General features: G+C 43.3%; 1 protein-coding gene and 1 long non-coding RNA gene across 8 annotated transcripts in view; one reads left to right on the forward strand and one right to left on the reverse strand.

Moving 5' to 3' along the window:
* Nucleotides 1-21,035, forward strand: part of CDH13 (cadherin 13) — a 1,173,672-nt gene that overhangs the window by 753,208 nt on the left and 399,429 nt on the right. The gene's annotated exons all lie outside the window — the stretch shown is intronic.
* CDH13-AS1 (CDH13 antisense RNA 1) lies at nucleotides 2,948-19,333 on the reverse strand. Of its 2 annotated transcripts, none has more exons than XR_007065144.1 (3): nucleotides 19,259-19,333; nucleotides 17,750-17,831; nucleotides 2,948-3,024 (listed from the first exon to the last, which is right to left on the reverse strand). It is a non-coding gene; the product is annotated as a CDH13 antisense RNA 1 (long non-coding RNA). The 2 variants fall into 2 exon arrangements; XR_007065145.1 differs by lacking the exon at nucleotides 2,948-3,024 and adding an exon at nucleotides 17,234-17,316.

Consider the following 21,035-nt stretch of genomic DNA (forward strand, 5'->3'; position numbering starts at 1 on the left):
CGGATCAAAGATCTTAAGCTTTATCTGTAATATTTTATTTCTTTTAATAAAATAAAGACAAAGCAAATGTGACAAAGTGTTACCAGTTGGCAATTCCAGATGGTGGGTGTGCTGATTTTCATACTATTGTTCTTTGTGCTTTTCTGTGTTTTCTTAAAATTCCCAAAATATGAAACTGAAGAAGGAAGGTAACCATCATTGGTTGCTGACTGTCAGCCCATTCATTCTATTTTTGCTCCCAGCTATTTTTTATTTGAAGATAAAAGACGTGACAGATACACGTGAAACCTTTCTATCTACCTACCTAATTTAGGATTAGACTTAGCTGCATGTAAAAGAAAAAAAAATCTCAAGAGTGAGACATTTCTTTTTATCACATAAAAGACATTCAGAGGTCTGTATAGGGCAGTCTGGAGACGTCATTTGGGACAAAATTCTACCATTCTCAGCACGTAGATTCTGCCCTCCAGGCCACTTCATGGCTCAAGGTGGCTGATTGGAGCTCCAGCCTTCACCTCCATATTCTAGACCAACAGTACCCTCCCTTCCCAAAATTACCTCTGCTTACAGCTCATGGGCCAGAATTCATCACATGGCCATGTAACTGCAAGGGGGATAGAGAATATCATGTTTCATTAGGGCACATTACCCAAGGTTTTTTTTTTTTTTTCCTTTAATTAAGGAAAAAGAGAAGAGTGTATATTAGGAAGTAACTAGCAGCCCTGCCACAAAAATGCCCTCATCCTCACTGCCCTCCCTCCCTTCTCAGAGGAAGGCACTCTCTTAGAGTTAGTATATAACCTTCTTGTCTATGTTTCTATAATTAAATAACTATGTTCCTATCCATTTAAAATACATGGTTTTATTGATCTTAAAGTTTTAATAAATTCTGCAATTATTGCTTTCTTGTTCCAGGAAACATGCTAAGTACTTCATGCTTATTATTTCATTGTGTCCTCAATAGATGGTAACAACTACCTATTTAATAGTTGCTTGCTTTTTTCACATTTTAGCAAATGTACCTTTTTCTAATTTCTAAAGTTGATGTTCCCTCCTTGCCATCTGGAGTGAGCACATCTCTTTAGCCTCCACCAGTTCCTAACTGCCTGAAATTTTCCCAGAAATCGTGGACTCCCCCTTTCCCTGCCCCTTCATGTCTTCCTGGATTTCTGACATCTGGCTTCTCCTGCCTGTGCATTAAGAGTTCCAAACCTCTCTGACTTAAGCCAACAGTGACTTTCAGTGTTGTGCGTTCCCTATCCATGTTCATGATTTTTTAGCACCGAGATCGCATCAGCAAGAACCCTCAAAGCCCTGGGATGCAGTTCTTCTGGATCTCAAGTCTTGAACACATTAAATGATAAGCTCTTTACAGACTTTCTCTTCCCAATTATTAAGCAGCAATTACCCTTCACATCACCTTCTCCCATATCACCTCTATAATTCCAACCACTCTCACCTAAAAAAGCTCACCTAAACCCACCACTTGTCTATCTGAGTCAAATCATTCCAAACCAAAGCTGCACATGCCTGAAATTAGGGATTAAAAAAAAAAAAGTACCAAGAGGATAAACACCTTCCTTCCTTTACTAGATCCAGGGTATTTTTCAACTGAATGCAGCCATTGCCACCCTATATTTGGCTTTTAGAGACAGACTGAAGTCTAACAAGTTGCTCCTTATACTTGAATTCACAAGTATAAAATCATATGGATGACTTGTGCACCTTGCTGTCATTCTGTGCAGAGCTCTGCCTGTGCACTCCTTCCCTCACTTACCGAGGGCCTAGTTCATCCTCCACCTCTGTGGACACAGGAACGACGAAAAAGTCTCCCTTATGACCTAACGGCTTAGAGCATGGGTCCCATAATCCAATGTGAATGGGCTTCCACCCCAACTCTACCAGCTACTTATTGTGTGGTTGTGAGTAAGTCACCTACCTTCTCAGAACTTCTGTTTCTTCATCTATAGTAGAAGGATACTAATTCCTCCACCATAGGGATGATTTGAGGACAGCACTGACTAATAGCCATAAAGTACTTAGCTTGCTGCCTGGCACATAATGAAGACAAAAATGAACATTGACCAATACTAGCATCATCTGCATCTCCACCATTTCCACCATCATCCTTAATTGGTTGTGCAAATAAATCCACAAGTACAATTTAATCAGGTAAATTAATGGAAATATTTTATTCTGGGGTTATTTTAAATGTACAGAAAAGTTGCACGAACAGAACAAAGAACTTCCATACCCCCTCATGCTGATCCCCAGCTATTCACATTTCACTGCGTACACTCTATCTCCCTATGTATGTATCTATGTGATGTCCCTTCAACCCTCAGTGCTCCATCATATCTGCCTCCCCAAGTACACCCTCCTGCATAACCACCATGCAAACCCACAAGTCAAGAAATGAGCACTGAAACAAAACCCAGTGCATCAATACATTGATGCAATGTCCAATCTCCACACCCCGTTCAGGGTTTTTCTAGCCCTCCTACCTTTCCCTTCTTAAAAATACCTTCTGCAACAGTGAGAAATCTTCATTAACCTCAGATCTGTCCAGCTGTCCTAGTGATGTCTCTTTTTCATATCTGGCCCAGGATTCCATCCAGTTACACCAATGGTTCTCATCTGGAGCTGACTTTGCACTCCCCTCTGACCCCACCCATGGTACATTTGGTAATGTCTGGAGACATTTGATCACACAAGTGGGAATTGGTATTGACATCTAGGGCTTAGACACCAGAGATGATGCCAGACACCGTGCAGTGTGCAAGACAGACCCCAAGAATTATCCAGTCAAAAATCTTGAAAGAGCTAAAGTGCAGAAACCCCGAGTTACACATTGCATTTAATTGTCACATCTTTGCAGTCTGCCCCAGTTTGGAGCATTTCCTCAGTCTTTCCCTGACTTTCATCGTCCCAACAGTTTGGAAGAATGCAGCCCTACATTCTGCAGTGTGATGCTCAACGTGGTCCATCTGATGTTTCCTCGGGACCAGTTTCAGGTCATACGTTCTGGGGAGAAAAACCACAGAAATGATGCCATGTTATCAGTGTTCCACCTGCTGGGGCACACACAACCAACCCTGCCCAAGGCTCAGGAATGTTAGCCTCTTTCACCTGGTCATGTCAACATCCTCAGGTTTCCCCCCAAAAAAGTCACCATTTTCCCCTTTATAATCAAATTTGCAGCAAGATATTCCAGATCATCGATCTTGTGATATGCTGCTCTCATGAGACCTCAACTCACAAGCCTTGACTCACCTGCCAGTTCTTAGCTGAGCATCTGCCCTGATGGTGTGGAGTGATTTCCTTTTTCCATGGCTCCTTGTACATTTATGGTTGGCATTCTACTGCAAGGAAGACTGTTTCCTCTTCTCCCATTAGTATATTCATTCATTTATTTTTTATATCAGAATGGACTCATGTGGTTTTAATTCTTTGGGTTGTTTTCTGTTGCTGTCTTTCTTTTTTAATGCTGTGCTTAAATTGTGTCATATTTGGCCAGGGGGAGCCTGGGGCTTTTGATAATTCCTCATTTATTTTTACTGCTTACTTTCTTATACAATGAGATATTCTGAACTCATGTTGTACCTTCCTGCCCAACCCTGGATTGAGTGACTTCCTCAAGGAACCTTGGTTTCTTTTCATGGAGGGTGGTCTTTAGAAATCAGTGTCTGGGTATTTGGTGAGGTTGTGGCTGCTGGAGTGTCACTGCTGCTAGGTCCTTTCAGCAGACAGAGCAATGATACAGACACACACATATACATACACATATACATCCACACAAATATACGTACATATATATGGGTGTACACATATATACACATGGGTACATCTATATGTACTCATTTATACATGCTTGCACATATGTCTACAACTACTGTATCTCTCTGCATTGTTCATACATTAAATTTAAAACACAAGTTCAAACTGATATCTCCAATTCCAATCTAATATCTAAGGGTTTTTCTAGCCCTCCTACCTTTCGTGTTTATCAATACCTTCTGCAACAGTGAGAAACCTATTATTATTCTCAATATATCTACTAATTGATTTGATGAAATCACATGATGTAACCAGCCTCTCAACCATGCCAGCCATCTCTGCTGACTGCCACCTCTGCCTGACTTCCCAGAGCCCCATATCCCAGGCTACCAGCAGGCACTGGTCCTTCCTTTCTTCCCTCCAAGTCCCCCAGGCCAGTGAAAGAAGGAAATAGACTACCGAGGCGAATTTATGGACAGAACAATAGGGTCAAGGGTTAAGCCAAGAGGCTTATTACAAGAGGTAATGCAAAGAGGCTTTCTGCAGGAATCAACACCTTGAGCTGCCCCAAGGGCATAGAAGCATCAGCAAGGTTAACACCCTGTGGGAACACGAGCAGAAGGAATGGTTCTGCCAAAGGCATGGAGGAAGAGAGCCTGGTCACTCTGGCACTTGCATGTGGGTCAGCAGCATGGGATCCGAGGGTATGGAGAGGGGAGAGTGGTGAAGAGGAGGCTAGACAGGTGTGCAGGGCCACATGGCAAAAGGCCTCATGTGGATCAATGTGGACTAATGATGAATCTTTCCTGTCTCACTCTTCAGGCATGCGCTTGGCTTTTGGATTCTTTAAGTACTCTCAGATAAATCCACCTGTCCTTTCCAAAGTCATTTCCATCTATTATATACAAGTCTCATGAGTTGTCGTGTGTAACATGGTATGTCCAACTTCTAGGAAAGTATTTTGTACATAGTATATGCTCAGTAAGTATTTTAAGGCACCAATGTATATTTTTATCTCAAATAAGCTCTCCTGGCCCTCTTTCAAACAAAGATGGTTGGCAAACAGCAGCCAGCTCCCAGCACAGGTGGCCCCTACTGTCTCTACATTTGTATGGAAAATGTAATGGGTCATGAAATTGCATGCATTAGCATGCGGATGCTTAGACATATATATTTTTTGCAAACATTTCATCCTATAAAAGTAAGGGACCAAAGTATAAAATTCTTTAGAGGCATCAGCTGGAGGTAGTAGTCAATGAGAGAGAATCATTGTTTCCATTAAATAGTACCAGTTTTTGTAAGGCAAGTAAGATCTTCATGTTAATTCTAAGAAACTGTATGCCTCATTAGGCAGCTAAGGCATATTATGATTTGGATGCAGAATAACCCCAGTGATAAATGAATCTCCCAGCAGAGTAGCTTCCAGATTATAATTTCTTTCTTTGCAAGATTGCTATAGGCAAGGTGGCCTGATCACTTTTCAGAGGCCCATCTTAATAGTCAGAGTAAGCTCAGCTATGCTGTAGTAACAAGAAAATCCCATAATCTCAGTGTCTTAATAAATTAAAATAACTTATTTATAACAAAATGTCTAATGCAAATAGGGCTCCTTCATCTTGTAGTTACTCTAGAACATGGGGTCTCTATGGTCACCTATGGCATGGGAAAAGGGATTGAGGTGACATTCAGCTCTTTGCTCAGCCCAAGAATGAAACTCATCACATCTGTTTTCAGTCCAGTGACCAATACTAGTCATGTGGCCCCAGCATAACTACAGGAGAGGCTGGAGAATATATGGGAACCTCCTCACATTCACCAAATGGAATCTTTGGTGAATTCTAAAGATTCCCGGCATGTCCCACTATCTCCTTTTGGGGCTGAGAAAATGAAAGAAAAAACTGACAGGCCAATGTACTGACTGCTCTCTCACCTGGGTCTGATCCCATCTGAAGCTACTTTGGGTGGTTATCACAATGTAGTTTATCATAGTGCTGTGGAATATGAACTATGACCATAGCCAGCCCTATATTCTAGAACCAGCATCTCCATTTGTAGCTATGGGTGCTTGGACAAACACTTCAATGTTCTCCATCTCAGTTTCCTCATCTGAAAATAGAGTAAACAACAGTACCAACCTCATAGGGTTGTGTGGATTAAGTAGTTAGAAACATGTCGCTGTTGAGGAAACATGAGCTGCTGTTGTATTTGAAATGGTGCTGAATTCAGAATCCCATGGAAATCTTCACTATGACAAGAATTAACCAGCCCAGAGCCACATGGAGAAAAGATGTGTGGCCACGATCTCTTGACCGAATCCAGCATCAGAATCCACCAGACAAAACCAGCATCAGGACATTGGCCACAAAGGGATAGGCGTCCCAGGATGCTGGAATGTTGGGGGCAGCGCTATTATTAGAGACACCTGGTCACTGACCCAGCTTTCTTCCCATGGCTCAAGCTGAGACTTGATAGTAAAAACTGCCTTAAATGGAAGCAACTATATTTTTGATGTATGCTCTTCTAGGATGATACTAAAAGCCATATATAAAAGAGGTGTTGGTTCAAAATAAGTGGGATTTTTCAGTTCCACCTATACCCGGATAGTATTACCCACCCTACTTGAGGACTCTAGGAGGCAGGTAAGCTACAGTGAAATGTGCTACCCTTGCTAGTTGTGGTCACTTCATTTAAGGTAAGAGGTTGTATCTTCATTTAACTTGATGAGGAATTTTCCATCATACAATTAGTTTTGACTGCAAGTATAAGAAAATCTAACCATGGTGGCTTAAACAGTTTGGGGGATGTTTGTTGGCTGCTGGTATTGATTCAACATCATGATGATGTCAGGGGTGTCCCCACTGTGATTCTCTTAGCCTTTTCTGCAAGACAGCTGCCTCTGCTCTAGTCATCACTTCTGTATTTAAGGAAGAGATAAGGGGAAGAAGTAAGGTCCACCCCACCTTTTCCATTGCATCTAGAAAGCCAAAGTTTCCCTGAAACATCATCTTTAGCTCCCTGCTGCAAGAGACTTTCGCCTACATTTTCTTAGCCAGAATTGTGTTATATGCCCATCCTTAGTGACAAGGGAAGTTTGGAAAATTAAATACTTGTGTTCATAGACTCTATTATAGAGGCAGGGGAGGAAAACAGGGGCCAGAAATGAGTGTTAGGTCAACCAAGTTACAATGTCTGCCCCAGGAACTTATCCAAGAATAGTATATGTGAGAAGGAGGAGGAGGAGGCAAGGTACCCATTCTTATGCTCACTTGAGATGCCATATTTGATCCTCCCTAGCATTCCTCAACTTAAGGGCTGTTCTTTCTTCTGCAGGAAGAAGGCTTAAGATGTGAACTGGAAAGTTCTTATTCTCCACTGAGAACTAATTGCCTGCAGCAGGTTTCGGCTCACTTCTAGTTGTTTACTATTTTCCAAGTCACTGTGATTCCAGAAGGTATTGGGCCTCAGTGGAGCTCAAAATGGATATTAGCTCTTGGGTGTGTTTCATCGATTTGGGCACAGGAGGGAAATTATACACAGAGGATTGTCATCCTGGACAGTTAAAAATTTAAAGTAAATGAACTGAACAAACCTCCTCCCTTAAATAGTGCTCAGAAATCAAAGAGCTGAAAAAATGTAAATGGGATTCATTAAGAGCTACAAAATTATCTTCTTGTGTTGCTTTGATAAGTTTTTCTTGCAAATCTCTAGAAGTTTAGCTCAGGGCAAGTCTTGGACATGGTTGAGAATGTCTGCCTTATGAATGGCGAAGTGGACAATGGGGACCAGTGAGAAGAGGCTCTTAATATGTGACCATCTTAGGATGCCACTGGCTCCTACAGCAGTCCCCCTGGCACTTTCCCCTTGCTGTCTCTTTCTTTGCCTTGGTTTGCAGTGTTTACACAGCATGTCCAAGTGCTAGTTTGAGTTAATTTTCATTATGCTCATTTTAACACAAAGGACTTGAGTATTCAAGAATTTCTGTAGTGCTGGGTTTTTACTTTCTCTGTTGGCAAGAATTACCTTTGGTTAACCTTTGTCTTATAGACTCATTGGGTTTCAGTTATCAGGACTGGGGTAAAAGACCTCCTAGACATGACACCTACTCTGACAGAGACCAAGAATCCGGCATTGACACCCTGAGGCTGTACTTGGCTGGCAGGTTTTTTATTGTTGTTTGGACTGTGCAGTGTTTTATAATATTTAAGAATCACATTTCTGGGCTAGGCATGGTGGCTTATGGCTGTGATCTCAGCACTTTGGGAGGCAAAAGCAGGCTTAAGTCCAGGAGTTGGAGACCAGCCTGGGCAACATGGAATAACCCTCTCTCTGGAAAAAAAAAAAAAAAAAAATGTTAGCCAGGCATGGTGGTAATGCCTGTAGTCCCAACTACTTGGGAGGCTGAGGTGGGAGGATCGCTTGGGCCCAGAAAGTCGAGGCTACTTTGAGTCGTGATTGTACCACTGCACTCCAGCTTGGCCAACAGTAAGATCCTGTCTCAAAAAAATCACATTTCTGGCTTTTTTTGATCAACGAGATTTGATGATATTGGACAAGTGTTTGGAGGTGGCACCATGGGCAGGAGCTGAGGAGCAGCTGCCTGTTTGGATCATGGCAGCTACAGTCCTCACCACACCCTATTGCCTTGCACTCTTCCCATGATGCTGATTTACCAATCTCTGCATGGCCACTTTAGGCCCTGCGTTGGTGTACCCCATCCAGATTGTCTCCATTGTAAAGCCATATATTTCCAAGGGCACAGCAGGTGTGTGTGGTATGCTGAGAGTCCCCTTCTATCTCTCCACCACCCTCTCCATACTTGCTCCCCAGGATGGCCATGGATACAGCTACATTAGCCTCACCTGGGTGCTTCTTAGAAATTCAGAATCTAAAGCTCAGCCCAGACCTACTGAATCAGAATCTGCCGTTTAATAAGATCCACAGGTGATCTGTGTGCTCATAAGGTGGGAGAAGCGTTGGTCTAAAGCACAATTTTCAAACTTGGCTGATGATAGGAATGACCAGGGCGCTTGTGAAAAACCCATTCCCAGGCACCACCCTAAAACCAGTCAGAGCCGACAGGGAAGGGCTCTGAGAATCCACAGGCTTAACATGTGCCCCAGTGATTCTAAGACAATGGTCAATTAAAAAGACTTGGCTTGAAGACTTAGTTCTCAAACGGGTATGCATCAGAATCACTCAGATTGCTTTTCATTTTTTAATTAAAGAAACATAATTTACAAAAATCACATTATTGTAAGAATTTTAAAAAGTCAGATATGCAAAATATAAAACTATAAAATTGCCATAGTTGTTATTTTAGCGTATCTTAACGTTTTAGTGTATAAGCATTTTTTTAGGTGTTTGTGTGTGTATATTTTTTACCAAAATGAGATCGTACCATAACGTTATTTTCAAATCTGATTTTCTCAGTTAACAATCTCTATCTTTCTATAAGAATAATTTTCCCATTTGACCCCGAATTCCAATTTACAGTGAATTGTTCTGTCTAAACTAGGAGCCAATCCAGATGGATCTGGTTATTCCATCCTTTATGTTTTTTATAAACAAGCACATTCTTCTCCTCCTCAATCCCTTTATTTTATTCTCCACATAATGCTGCCTTATTGATGGACTGGACCATTTATTCTGCAGATAGTCCCACCTTTTAGACTTATCTGGTCACTTCCTTATGGTGTCACATAGCTTGTTGCTCTGTCCTGGGGTGCCTTTGTTTATTCTCTTTAATGCATTTTCCAAGACTCCCCTCAAACTCCAATGAATTAAAGTTTTCAGAGTTTGGGGCCTGGGAATCTGAAGTGGTTCCACTTTGCCAGGTGAGTCTGAGTTTGAGAGGAAAGGTGTCCTAGATCATTCAGCAGCAGCAGAAGAGTTGGCCCTTAAATCTACGAAGAACATTGCCCTGTGCATCTGCATGCAGACAGGGTCTGATAACATCAAAGCTGGGAGTCTCTCCAACGCTTTAACTAATGGGATCTGAGCTCGGCTGTTTATTTATAGTCATTCAGTGATAAGAAAGTCAACTTGGTTGGAAGGAGCTTCTGTCCTAGGCTTGCAGCTGGGGCCTTAGCTACCCTTGTAATTTTCCCAGAAAAAAAAATGCACATCTCTTTGAGTCCTGGGCCATGTGTAAATCAGTGGTAATACAAGAAACATGGAGCACCCCAGAAAATCTTCAGACCCTGAGTTTGGAGCTGAGGAACTCAGAAACACTCAATTTCATCGAAGCCCCTTCATACAGCTTTGAATGCATACATTATGGGGTCTGTGGCTCAGAGGTACCAGTGCTCAGAGCAGTATCTGCTTTCCTAGTATGGCCTGTGGGCAGTGGTCTCAGCATGCAGCATCACTGAACAGAACCCTGCATATGCCATAATTTACGTAGATACTATGGAGGTGGAACCATGTATGGTTAAGTCCCGGGGCCCTGGAGCAGTAGATCTTAACCTTATTGGACACAGTATCCCATTTCTATTTACAAATACTTTTTTTTTTTTCCATGAGAACAACCACAGGGACTTTTAACTTGCCTAAAGATAATGTGTGATTTTGAGATGTGATTAGGGATTATCATTCCCACAGTGATCCTACTATCAACAGGAACTGCTGTTTCTATTATCAACAAGAATATGCCTCCAAGCCAGGAGTCCTGCTGATCCCACTGTCTCCCCACCCCAACAGCCATGGCCCGAGATCAGATTGTCTCCATGGATTCTAGTGCTCAGGGAAGTTAAGAAAACTCAATTCACGGTGCTCAGTTCAACCTTAGACATGCATCAGAATCACTCACATTGCTGTTTAATTTTTTAATTAAATAAAAATATTTATTCAGCCGAGGTAGCTGAAGCAGGAGAAGGAAGAGCCTCAACTCAGGGGAAGATTTGCTGTCACCCCCTGACACTGAGCAGAGGCCAGTCAAATCCACTGGAGCTGACCTCTTTGATGTCAGGCTCAGCAGAGGCCTGGCTCTTAGCAGGCCAGCTTCCTGTGCTTGGGATTGCTTGTCTTAGCTTTCAGAGGATTTAATTGCTGATTCAAACCATACAAAGTACAACGAACAGTATCTACTGGTGGGTTGAACAAATGGGTTCCAATGACTCAGGCCCGAGTGACCTCTGCTGCCTCTAACCTCCTTCACCATCTGCTGCCCAGGGGGTCCTGAGAGGCCAATAAGTATCTGCCAAGATGCTCTTTAGTATCCTTCTGTGACATTCATAAGATGTTAACCTGCCTACACACTTTTTTTTTTTTTTGAGACAGCGTCTTACCCGTCGCCCAGGATGGACTGCAATAACATGATCTTGGCTTACTGCAACCTCTGCCTCCCGGGTTCAAATGATTCTCCTGCCTCAGCCTCCCGAGTAGCTGGGATTACAGGTGCCTACCACCACACCCAGCTAATTTTTGTATTTTTCGTAGAGACGGGGTTTCACCATGTTGGCCCGGCTGGTCTCGAACTCCCGACCTCGTGATCCGCCCGCCTCAGCCTCCCAAAGTGCTGGGATTACAGGCATGAGCCACCGTGCCAGCCACACATTTAAAATAATGATAATAGTAAGCCCCAATTATACTATAAAGGAACAACTAATTTAGAATAGGAGGTCTAGGTAAATATGCAAATGCAAATACTCTGGCGCAACCCCCCTGGAAAACATAATGAAGTGGTCCCGCCAGAGTATCCTCACACAGGGTCACCACCAACACATTGCATCAGCTGCCATGCAGACGAACACAGGTCTGTTTTGCATTGTCACCCAAGTGACATTCAGTATTGCCATTGGTTAGGCAATTTTCCAGAATTGGTGAGATTCTGAACCAAACAAAAAACAAGATCACCTCTTTTGACACAGGGTCTGCATTGTGGTGATGTGTGGAATATGTTCATCTGTACGAAAATATTTGGGGTTTGAGTGTAAAATCGAGTTGGGTTCTAGACTCAGATAAACAAGATTTTTTTTCTCCCCCACCCAAAGACTGTTTATCAGGGTCATTCGAAATGTATGTGGGGCAACTCTATGTAGTCAGGAGCTCCATGCATCGCGGGGTGTCTAACACCTAATTGTCACCTCCCACTAAATGCCAGTAACACCCCCGATTATTGTGACACTCAAAAATCGCCCCCTCGCACTTCGAAAGCACACCCCTATACACACTGATCTTCTGTTAACCCTGCCTTGAATGACTTCGGTAGCCTGAATTCCCATCCTGGCCCCACTGCCTCATAGCTTCGTGGCCCTGGGCAAGCCCACAACCCCCAAACCTCAGTTTCCTCATCTGTGATATGGGTGCATGGAGGAGGTTAAATAACAGCTCCAATCTTAAAGCCTCCTTAGCGCCGTGCCTCACGAGCTGTAAGTACTAAATGAATGCTGGCTATTATATATAACTTATATTGTATATTATTTATGATTGTTCCTAAAATTATCACTAATAAGTGCTTCACAGCAATGAGCTAAGATTCTGAGTGCTATTTCATGGATTTTAGAGAAATAATTAGATTCTAGAACCTCAATTATCATCGTAATGACTCCCCTGATAGAGTTCCAAAACTGTTTCTTTGTGACCACTCACAGTAAGAACATCACACGAATGAATATTCCACCTGTCTTAGGTGTGCACACAGAAGGTACTGACGGTTCTCTCTGAGCAGTTCCAAGCCCTCATCTGGGACCACGTCTTCCCAAGACCAAGCCCTAAGTCGTGATATAAAACAAGAAAAGACGCTGGGAGTACAGTCAGCTTCAAAGACAGAACCAGCGCACGAGGCAGAATCACAGTGTCAGAGCTTCTGTAATTACACGCTAAATTATGCGGTGCCATCTTTAAATTATGTAGGAAATAGAAAAAGGAAAATCTCGGTGGAGGATGGAGGTAGCTTCTAGAAGGAGGTGGGCCTGAGCCGCCCCTGAAGAATGTTGGGAATCTGGGTCAGGCAAGAGGCTGGAGGAGAGAGGTGAAGAGCTGGAAGGAAGTTGGGAGGGGAGAGGCCCAGGGGAGGGCATAGATGGAGGGTGATGGGGTGTGGGTGCCCAGGCCTGGGAATTCAGACCTGCCAATAGCCCTTTCAAGGGCCAGAGACAGTTCCCTGCCAGAATAAATACATAGATAAATACTATTTAAAGCAAAAACAAAGTGTCACCAATATCTAGATAAAGTGTCCCCAAGGATACATCTGGTGCTATTCCGTGAGACCATGTCACCCAGAGCTGGTGCTAAACTGATGCCAAGGGGTGCCCATGGAAATGCCACCTTTGGGTGGGCAGAGGCATTTGGCTCTGCACTGGTTTTTATGGTGTGGGAAAGGAAGCATTCTCGTGGGAATATTGTTCTTGCCTCCAGGAAGGGCTGTGGGAACGTGCAGTTACTGCAGAGGGACATTTCTGAGCATACATGCTTGTTTATGATGATGGATGACTGGCTCAGGAGAGAGCTAAAATGATCCTTTCCCTAGAGATGTGAGGAGAAGCCAGCCCAGAATTTCTGTCACAATCTGCTGCCCGAGTCCAGTGACTCAGAAACAAAGTTCATCTTTACTGACGTGCCATGGCTGCCAGGAACCAGGGCAGCTGCTAAGCCACCAATCCCCAGCCCACAGTTTTGTGCGGAGGAGACATAGACATATATGTTATTGCAATTATGGCTCTACTGAAAGAATGAATGAATTTAATCGAATCAATCATTCATTCAATTCAGTTGAATCATTCATTCATTGAATTGAATCATTCATTCAATGAATGAATCCCCTGGTCAAGGAACCAGGCTCAGCCCACAATGTATGCATTTATTCATTCATTCATTTAACAAGCAATGCCAGGCTTCTGGCCTCAGGGAGTACATGTTCACCCCCTAGTGGAGGGAGACACACAGTAAACATAGAATACATTAGGCAATGAGAACTGTAGAGAGAAGCAAGCATGAAGAGGAACATAGAATACTATGCAGCCATAAAAAAGAACAAGATCATGTCCTGTGCAGGAACATGGATGGACCTGGAGGTCATTATCCTTAGCAAACTAAGGCAGGAACAGAAATCCAAATACCGCCTGTTCTCGTAAGTGGGAGCTAAATGATGAGAACACATGGACACAGAAGGCAACAATGAACACTGGGTCCTACTTGAGGGTGGAGGTTGGGAGGAGGGAGAGGAGCAGAAAAAAATAACTATTGGTTACTAGGCTTAGCACTTTGGTGAGGAAATAATCTGTACATGAAACCCCCATGACACAAGTTTACCTATATAGCAAAACTGCACATGTACCCCTGAACCTAAAAGTTTTAAAAAAAAAAAACAAAAAAGAGTGAACAGTACTGAAGTGAGAGTGGCAGGGGTGCGGTTTTCAATTGCGTGCTCAAGGAAAGCTGCTTGTCTGGGAAAGCAATATTTGAACACAGCCTGAAAGAGGCGAGAGAGTGAGCCACGTGGATAACTGGAGGTACAGCAGGCCAGACAGAGGCAACAGCACATGCAAAGTCCCTGAGGCAGGCACACGTGTGGTGTACTGGAGGAATTGTAAGGATGTGGGATGGATGAAATAAAGTGAGAAGGGGAGCAGAAGCAGGGGGAGCAGATCACATCCAACTGTGCAGGCGTAGTAAAGAACCCAGCGTTTACTCACAAGGAATGGTGAGCCGCCAAGGTTTTGAGCAGAAGCGTGACATGACCTGACTTGCATTTTATAGGACCTCCCTTGCTAGTGTCTGGAAGAGATCAAAGTGGATGAGAACAAAAGCAAGGCAGCCATTGAGGAGGGTGGGACAGTTACATAGGTGGATTGAGCCAGACTGGTAGCAATGGAGGGATGAGAAATGGTTAGTATCCGCAGGGGTTTGAAAGGGCTGACTGATTTGCTGATGGATGGTGTGTGTGGTTCAAGAGAAAGAAAAGTCAAGGAAGGGCCAGGCACAGTGGCTCATGCCTGTAATCCCAACACTCTGGGAGGCCAAGACAGGCGGATCACCTGTGGTCAGGTGTTTGAAACCAGCCTGGCCAACATGGTGAAATCCCGTCTCTACTAAAAATGCAAAAATTTGCTGGGCATGGTGGTGGGCACCTGTAATCCCAGGTACTTGGGAGCCTGAGACAAGAGAATTGCCTGAACCCAGGAGGCAGAGGTTGCAGTGAGCCAAGATCGTGCCATTGCACTCCAGCCTGGACGACAGAGCGAGACTCCATCTCAAAAAAAAAAAAAAAAAATAGCTGGGTGTGGTGGCATGTGCCTGTAATCCCAGCTACTTGGGAGGCTGAGGCAGGAGAATCACTGGAACCTAGGAGGCGGAGGTTGCAGTGAGCCAAGACTGTGCCACTGCACTCTAGCCTGGGAGACAGAGTGAGACTCTGTCTCAAAAAAAAAAAAAGTCAAGGAAGATCAAATACTCAAGGCTCCTAGTGATCATCAATTAGACATCCGAGTTCTTCTGGGAGGTCCTGTTTGCCAGTGGTCATCCTGTCATTTCCATCAGTGATGTCTGGAAGGTTTGATACCAAGAAGTTACCTCCTTTCAAAGTGGCTTCTTCTTCCAGCTACTAGGTTTGACCTCCTGGAGGCCAGGAGTGCAAGGTACAACTATTACTCTTCCAGAAGAGGCTCTCCCCAACCCTCCCACATTGAAGGGTTGACATTGAAGTGTTGAAGTTTTCCTTCAGCCTGGTCATTGCTCAAAGGTGGTAGAATATAGATGTAGGTCAGTAGTGATAGCAGGCTACAGCCAGCCGGTGGTCACCACAGGGTAGATATCACATAGTGGTTGAAACTGAAGGCGGCTGAAACCTGAATTCTAATTAATTTCTTTGTGACCATGGGAAGTTATTTCACCTTTCCGTTCTTTTTTTTAACTTTTAAGTTGAGGAGTACATGCACAGGATGTGTAGGTTTGTTACATAGGTAAACGTGTGTCAAGGGGAGTTGTTGTAGAGATTATCTCATCACCCACACATTAAGCCTAATATTCAGTAGTTATTTTTCCTGATCCTCTCCCTCCTCCCATCCTCCACCCTCCTGGTGTGTGTTGTTCCCCTCTATATGTCCACGTGTTCTCATCATTTAGCTCCCACTATGAGTGGGAACATGTGGTATTTGGTTTTCTGTTCCTGTGTTAGTTTGCTAAGGATAATGGCCTCCAGTTCTGTCCATGTCTCTGCAAAGGACATGATCTTATTCCTTTTTATGGCTGCATAGTATTCCGTGGTGTATACATACCAGAATTTGTTTATCCAGTCTATCGTTGATGGGCACTTAGGTTGATTCCGTGCCTTTGCTATTGTGTTTCACCTTGTTGAACATCAGTTTTGTGAGCTATAAAATGGGGGTAATCCATTCTCTACCTCGTAGGATTGTTCAGAGTATGATAAAACACTGTGTCTGGCACAGGAATGTCAATGATCAGCTATTGAGTAAGCAAAGTGAATTAATGATCTTTATATGCCATGTGTCATGTAATTCTATCCTCTCACTTCCAGGAGATTTGGAAGGCAGCCAGGAGTCCCTCTTTCCTCTCTGTTGCCTGGCTGACCTCCTTCCTTTAAAACCCTTCTCCTCTTTTTTGTATCATAATGACCTTATTTTGAATTATGGTGGTACTTTAAATTTTATGTCCCTGAAGGGTTAAGCTCTATGTTGGCTTTACCTGAACTCTCTCATCCTCACCCACCAGCAAGATGAAGGTAGGGTGGCCACTGACAGGTGACGTTCGTGAGGTGCATGGCTTTTCTGAAGATAAGCAGTAATTGAAGGAGGAGAATCAGATTTAAAGCCTGGGGCTGCAAGGATATGAGATTCATCACAAATGATGATGATGATGATGATGATAGGAACATTAGGGGAGGAGCAGGAGTAGGGGGAGACTGGGAGACACAAAACATGTGTTACCAGACTTTGTCAGTAGCATTTTTCATGGTTTCACATTTTTAATTCTCACAATGACCCTTTCAGGTAGCTTCTATCATTGTCCCAGGTTCCAGTTGAGGAAGCTGAGGCTCTATGAAATCAGATAACTTGCCCATGGTTACACAGCTACTAGTGGTGGTGCAGAATTGGGAAGCCAAGCAGCCTTGGCTAAAAAGCCTGCAGCTGTGATCTATGTCCTCGCTCTGGCCCTTTCTCCTGGCTTTCCTGATCTCACCGCCGCCCCCTTACCCCCACTCCCCAGCATGTCCCTCCTCGGCCGTGGGCAACCCCTCCTTCTTTGGGGACACACCTCTCTCACCAAGTTGTGTTTCCCCAAGGCCTTTGAGGGTCACAGTAGTACATTTCTCACTTTGATTATGAGGGGATACACCCTCTTAATCTAAGACAAACCACCACCACCATTATACTGAATTTAAACCAGTCAAGAAGTTCAACCCTTCCAGCTATGGAAGCCAAGGTATGTTCTCACTTTGTCTTGGTGCATTTGATTTCTCTGAAGATACCCTCAGATGCTCTAATTTGAGAAAATACTAGAAAGTGTGCATTTACAGGTGACCATCCCTCTGCTCTGTTGTGACTTTTATAAGGTCTAGTTGTTCTTGATATGCAGACTAATCTGTAAGGAAGATGAGCATGGGGGAGAGAAGAAAGACGCATTATTCACTGGAAAACAGCATCGTGTATTTTAGCAAGGAGAGCGTGCTGGTGTTGATCTGATATCACCCCAATACTTAGGAGGAATTGAGTTAGAGATACATTTGTAGCTTGAAGAGTTGCTTATTTGATAAGTTATCGGAGTGTGTTTCAAAGACATTATGCCTATGTGAAAGTAAAGATGGAGTTGTTTATCTCTGTATCTCCTTGTCCTGTTTCTCCCAGGACTTGGCAGAACTCTTGATGGCAAGAATCTAATCTTTGTCCTACTTGTAACTGCAGTGCCTGGCAGTTTGCCCTGTCCATATTCATAGAGCTAAAGAAACATTTGTTATAAATGAAGAAATCCCCCAGAGAGAAAGCTATAGAGAACTGACCTGGAACAATTTACTTACCTGCTGGGAGACGCTAGTCTTGCCCCAGATGTTCAATGCCTGCACTGGTCTATTTGCAGGTGCAGGGGAGGCTTCTGCTGTCCTGGGGAAAAAATACCCATGTCTTCAGCCAGCCACAATTCAATTACTCTAGACCAGTGTATCCGAAGCTTGAGTGTACAGCAGAATCCCCAGGAGGATTTGTTTAAGTACTCATTGCTAGGCGTACTACCCTGGTTTCTAACTCAGTTAGGTATATTAATTTCCTAGGGCTGCCATAACAAATCACTGTAATGTTGATGTTTAAAGCAACAGAAACTTATTCTCTAGCTTCTGGAAGCCAGAAGCCAAAATCAAGGTGTTGCCAAGGCATGCTCCCTTTAAAGGCTCCAGGGGAGGATCCTTCCTTGCCTCTTCCAGCTCCTGGTGGCTCCAGGGATTCCATGGCCTCAGCTGCATCATTTTCATCTCTGCCTTTGTTTTTACGTGGCCTCCTCCTCTTCTCTTTCTCAAATGTCCCTCTGCCTTTCTGTTACAAAGACATTTGCTATTGGATTTAGGACCTTCCTAGATAATCCAGGATGGTCTCATCTCATCTTGAGATTCTTCATTACATCTGCAAAGACACACCCCCACTTATTTTCCAAATAAGATTCATGCACAGGTTCCAGGGATAAGGACATAGAGGTATCTTTTAGGGAGCCACCATTCAATTCATGGCAGTAGACCTGGAATATGGGGCCTGAGATTATGCTTTTTTGTACTTCTAACATGTTCACAGTTGATGCTAAAAGTTGCTCAGAGGTTGGAATATGAGAGCTTGGACTGCTGCTCCAAAGAGAGAGAAAATAATACAATGCCTTCTTTGAAATAGCACCTTTTCAGAAGAGTTCTTAAAATAGATTTTATCTCATGGGATTGATTTATTGTGCCCATTAAGCCAGATGCATAGCTCTTCTACTAGAATTAATTTTAAAGTTGCTAACCCTTAATTATTTGCAGAGATAGGACAAAAAATGTTGGAAGCAATTTGGAAATAGTCTTTATGTTCAGTCCATAATGGATGCTATTTACAACAATGGCTGTTTCATATTCTCATATAAATGATGAAGCTAACACTCAAAGCCATAGACCATTCAAATGCTTTATATCCTAAAAAGGATACAAAGACCATCAGACCATAAATTGTGATTTTTCATTGCCATGGCATGTTTCAATAGATGGTTTGTTTCTGTAGAAAGAACAGTTAATTCTGGACTCAGATCCTGAACATGCTCCTTTTTTGGCTATGAGAATTTGGGTCTTAGTTTTCTTGTCTAAACAGTGTGGGTGATAATATTTTGTCCTAATAATTAGCAGGCTTATTATGATGATCAATTAAGAGTACTTTGTAAACTGTCAAGTGTTTTGAAATATGTTACTTCTGTAATGACAAGGTTGAAAATAAATATAACTGGAGCTAATTCATAGAAATCTGTGTACTAAAGATAGATCTTAAGAAAAATTTTCGTCCAAAGTGTATTTGCTTACTGCAGCCCTTTCAGCTTCTCCCATCTGTCAGATGGCCTTTCTCAAATGTGACCACTATGTCTCTCTCCCATCCCACATGGTCTTCTTCAGTGTGACCTTGACGATCTTTCATTGAGATATGGGGACTTTGTCTCATCCTCTTGGATCTCAGTGGATCAAGGACTCACTCGTAACCAGTAGAATGATGTGTGACTTCTGAGATGAGGTCATAAAAGGCCATGCAGCTTTCTCCTTGTTCGCTGGGAATCTTGCTTTTGGAGTCCGTCTGCTTGAAAGCCACCATGTTGTGAGGAAGCCCAAACTAAACCACGCTAGACTCTGGGCTCCAGGAGAGCACAGACTCCTTTGCTTTGTCCTCACCATTTTACCCCCCGCCGCATTTAGCACAGTGCCTCACACAAGCAGGCATTCAAACAGCTGTGAGAGTGAAGAAACAAAAGGAGGTTGTACCCAACTCATTCTAATATGCTCTCAAGTTTAAATATGTGATGTAAATAGGACATTATAAGAACAAACACCAAAAAACCACCTATGTGTTGCAAAAGTTAACATTATTAATCCTCTAGAATTGTATGGTGCCTAATGGTTACATCTGTTTTCTTAATCGTTCCCTTATAATGCCTGTCTTATAGTACTGCCAAGAATTAGAAGGGAAGGAGCATGCTGAGGCCTAGATAATTCTGATGGGTTTTTTTTTTTCTTTTTTGGAAAGGATTTAACAGATATTAGAGAAAACTTAGAGGGAGTCTTGGGACTCCTTGATGGCCACGAAAGGGATGACTTTTAAAGAAATCGATCCAGAAATGTCTATGTGGCTGCCCTTTCTCTTCTCGTTGTAAATTTTCTCACAGTGAACACAGGTGTTAGAGATCAAGTGTTTGGCTTTCTGGTGCTCTGATGCAGGAAGTTTGTTTTCTCAGGCAGGCTTCTCAGCTCTTGCACAGTAGCCTATGGGTTGGGACGGCTACCGGATGGCCCAACTCCAGGATGGGGTCATAGTGCGGAGCTCTGTGAGTGGTGCCCCCTAGAGGAAACTTCCTGAAGGAATGAAGCTTCCTGAACTCATGCAATTTGGCAACCCTGGGTTCTCCCCAATGCTTTCAAGACATAGTAGGTTGGAGCAAAAGTAATTGCAGTTTTTGCCATTGAAAGTAATGTCAGTTACTTTTGCACCAACCTAATACAAACCATCCCATATCTGTGTTCTCCATCCTTTCATCCTTTATCACAGTGGGGTTGTGATAGATCCCTGAAAACACAGGATCAAGTATAGGTAAATGCAAGATGGTACATAGAATCAAGTGTGAAAGTGAGTCCCATCAACCCACACTCTTTCCATTTGGCCCAGTTGCTGCCCTTGTTGTTTAGAATGGCACGTACCTGGCCTTGAAATGCACTGAAGCCTATGGGGATTACTTTAAAATTCGGTCCTGTAAGCCAGTCTGTTAGTATCATTGCTCCTACTAATGATAGAAATTGCTGGTGTTGGCCGGGTGTGGTGGCTCACACCAGTAATCCAAGCACTTTGGCAGACGGAGGTGAAGGGATCACTTGAGGCCAGGAGTTCGAGCCAGCCTGGCCAACGTGGTGAAACCCCGTCTGTGCTTAAAAAATACAAAAAATTGGCCAAATGCAGTGGCTCACACCTATAATCCCAGCACTTTGGGAAGCCGAGGTGGGTGGATCACCTGAGGTCAGGAGTTCAAGACCAGCCTGGCCAATATGGCCAAAGCCCGTCTCTACCAAAAATACAAAAATTGGTGTGGTGGTGTGTGCG

Source organism: Homo sapiens, chromosome 16 (assembly GCF_000001405.40).
Source record: "Homo sapiens chromosome 16, GRCh38.p14 Primary Assembly".
In the NCBI taxonomy this organism is placed as follows: Eukaryota; Metazoa; Chordata; class Mammalia; order Primates; family Hominidae; genus Homo; species Homo sapiens.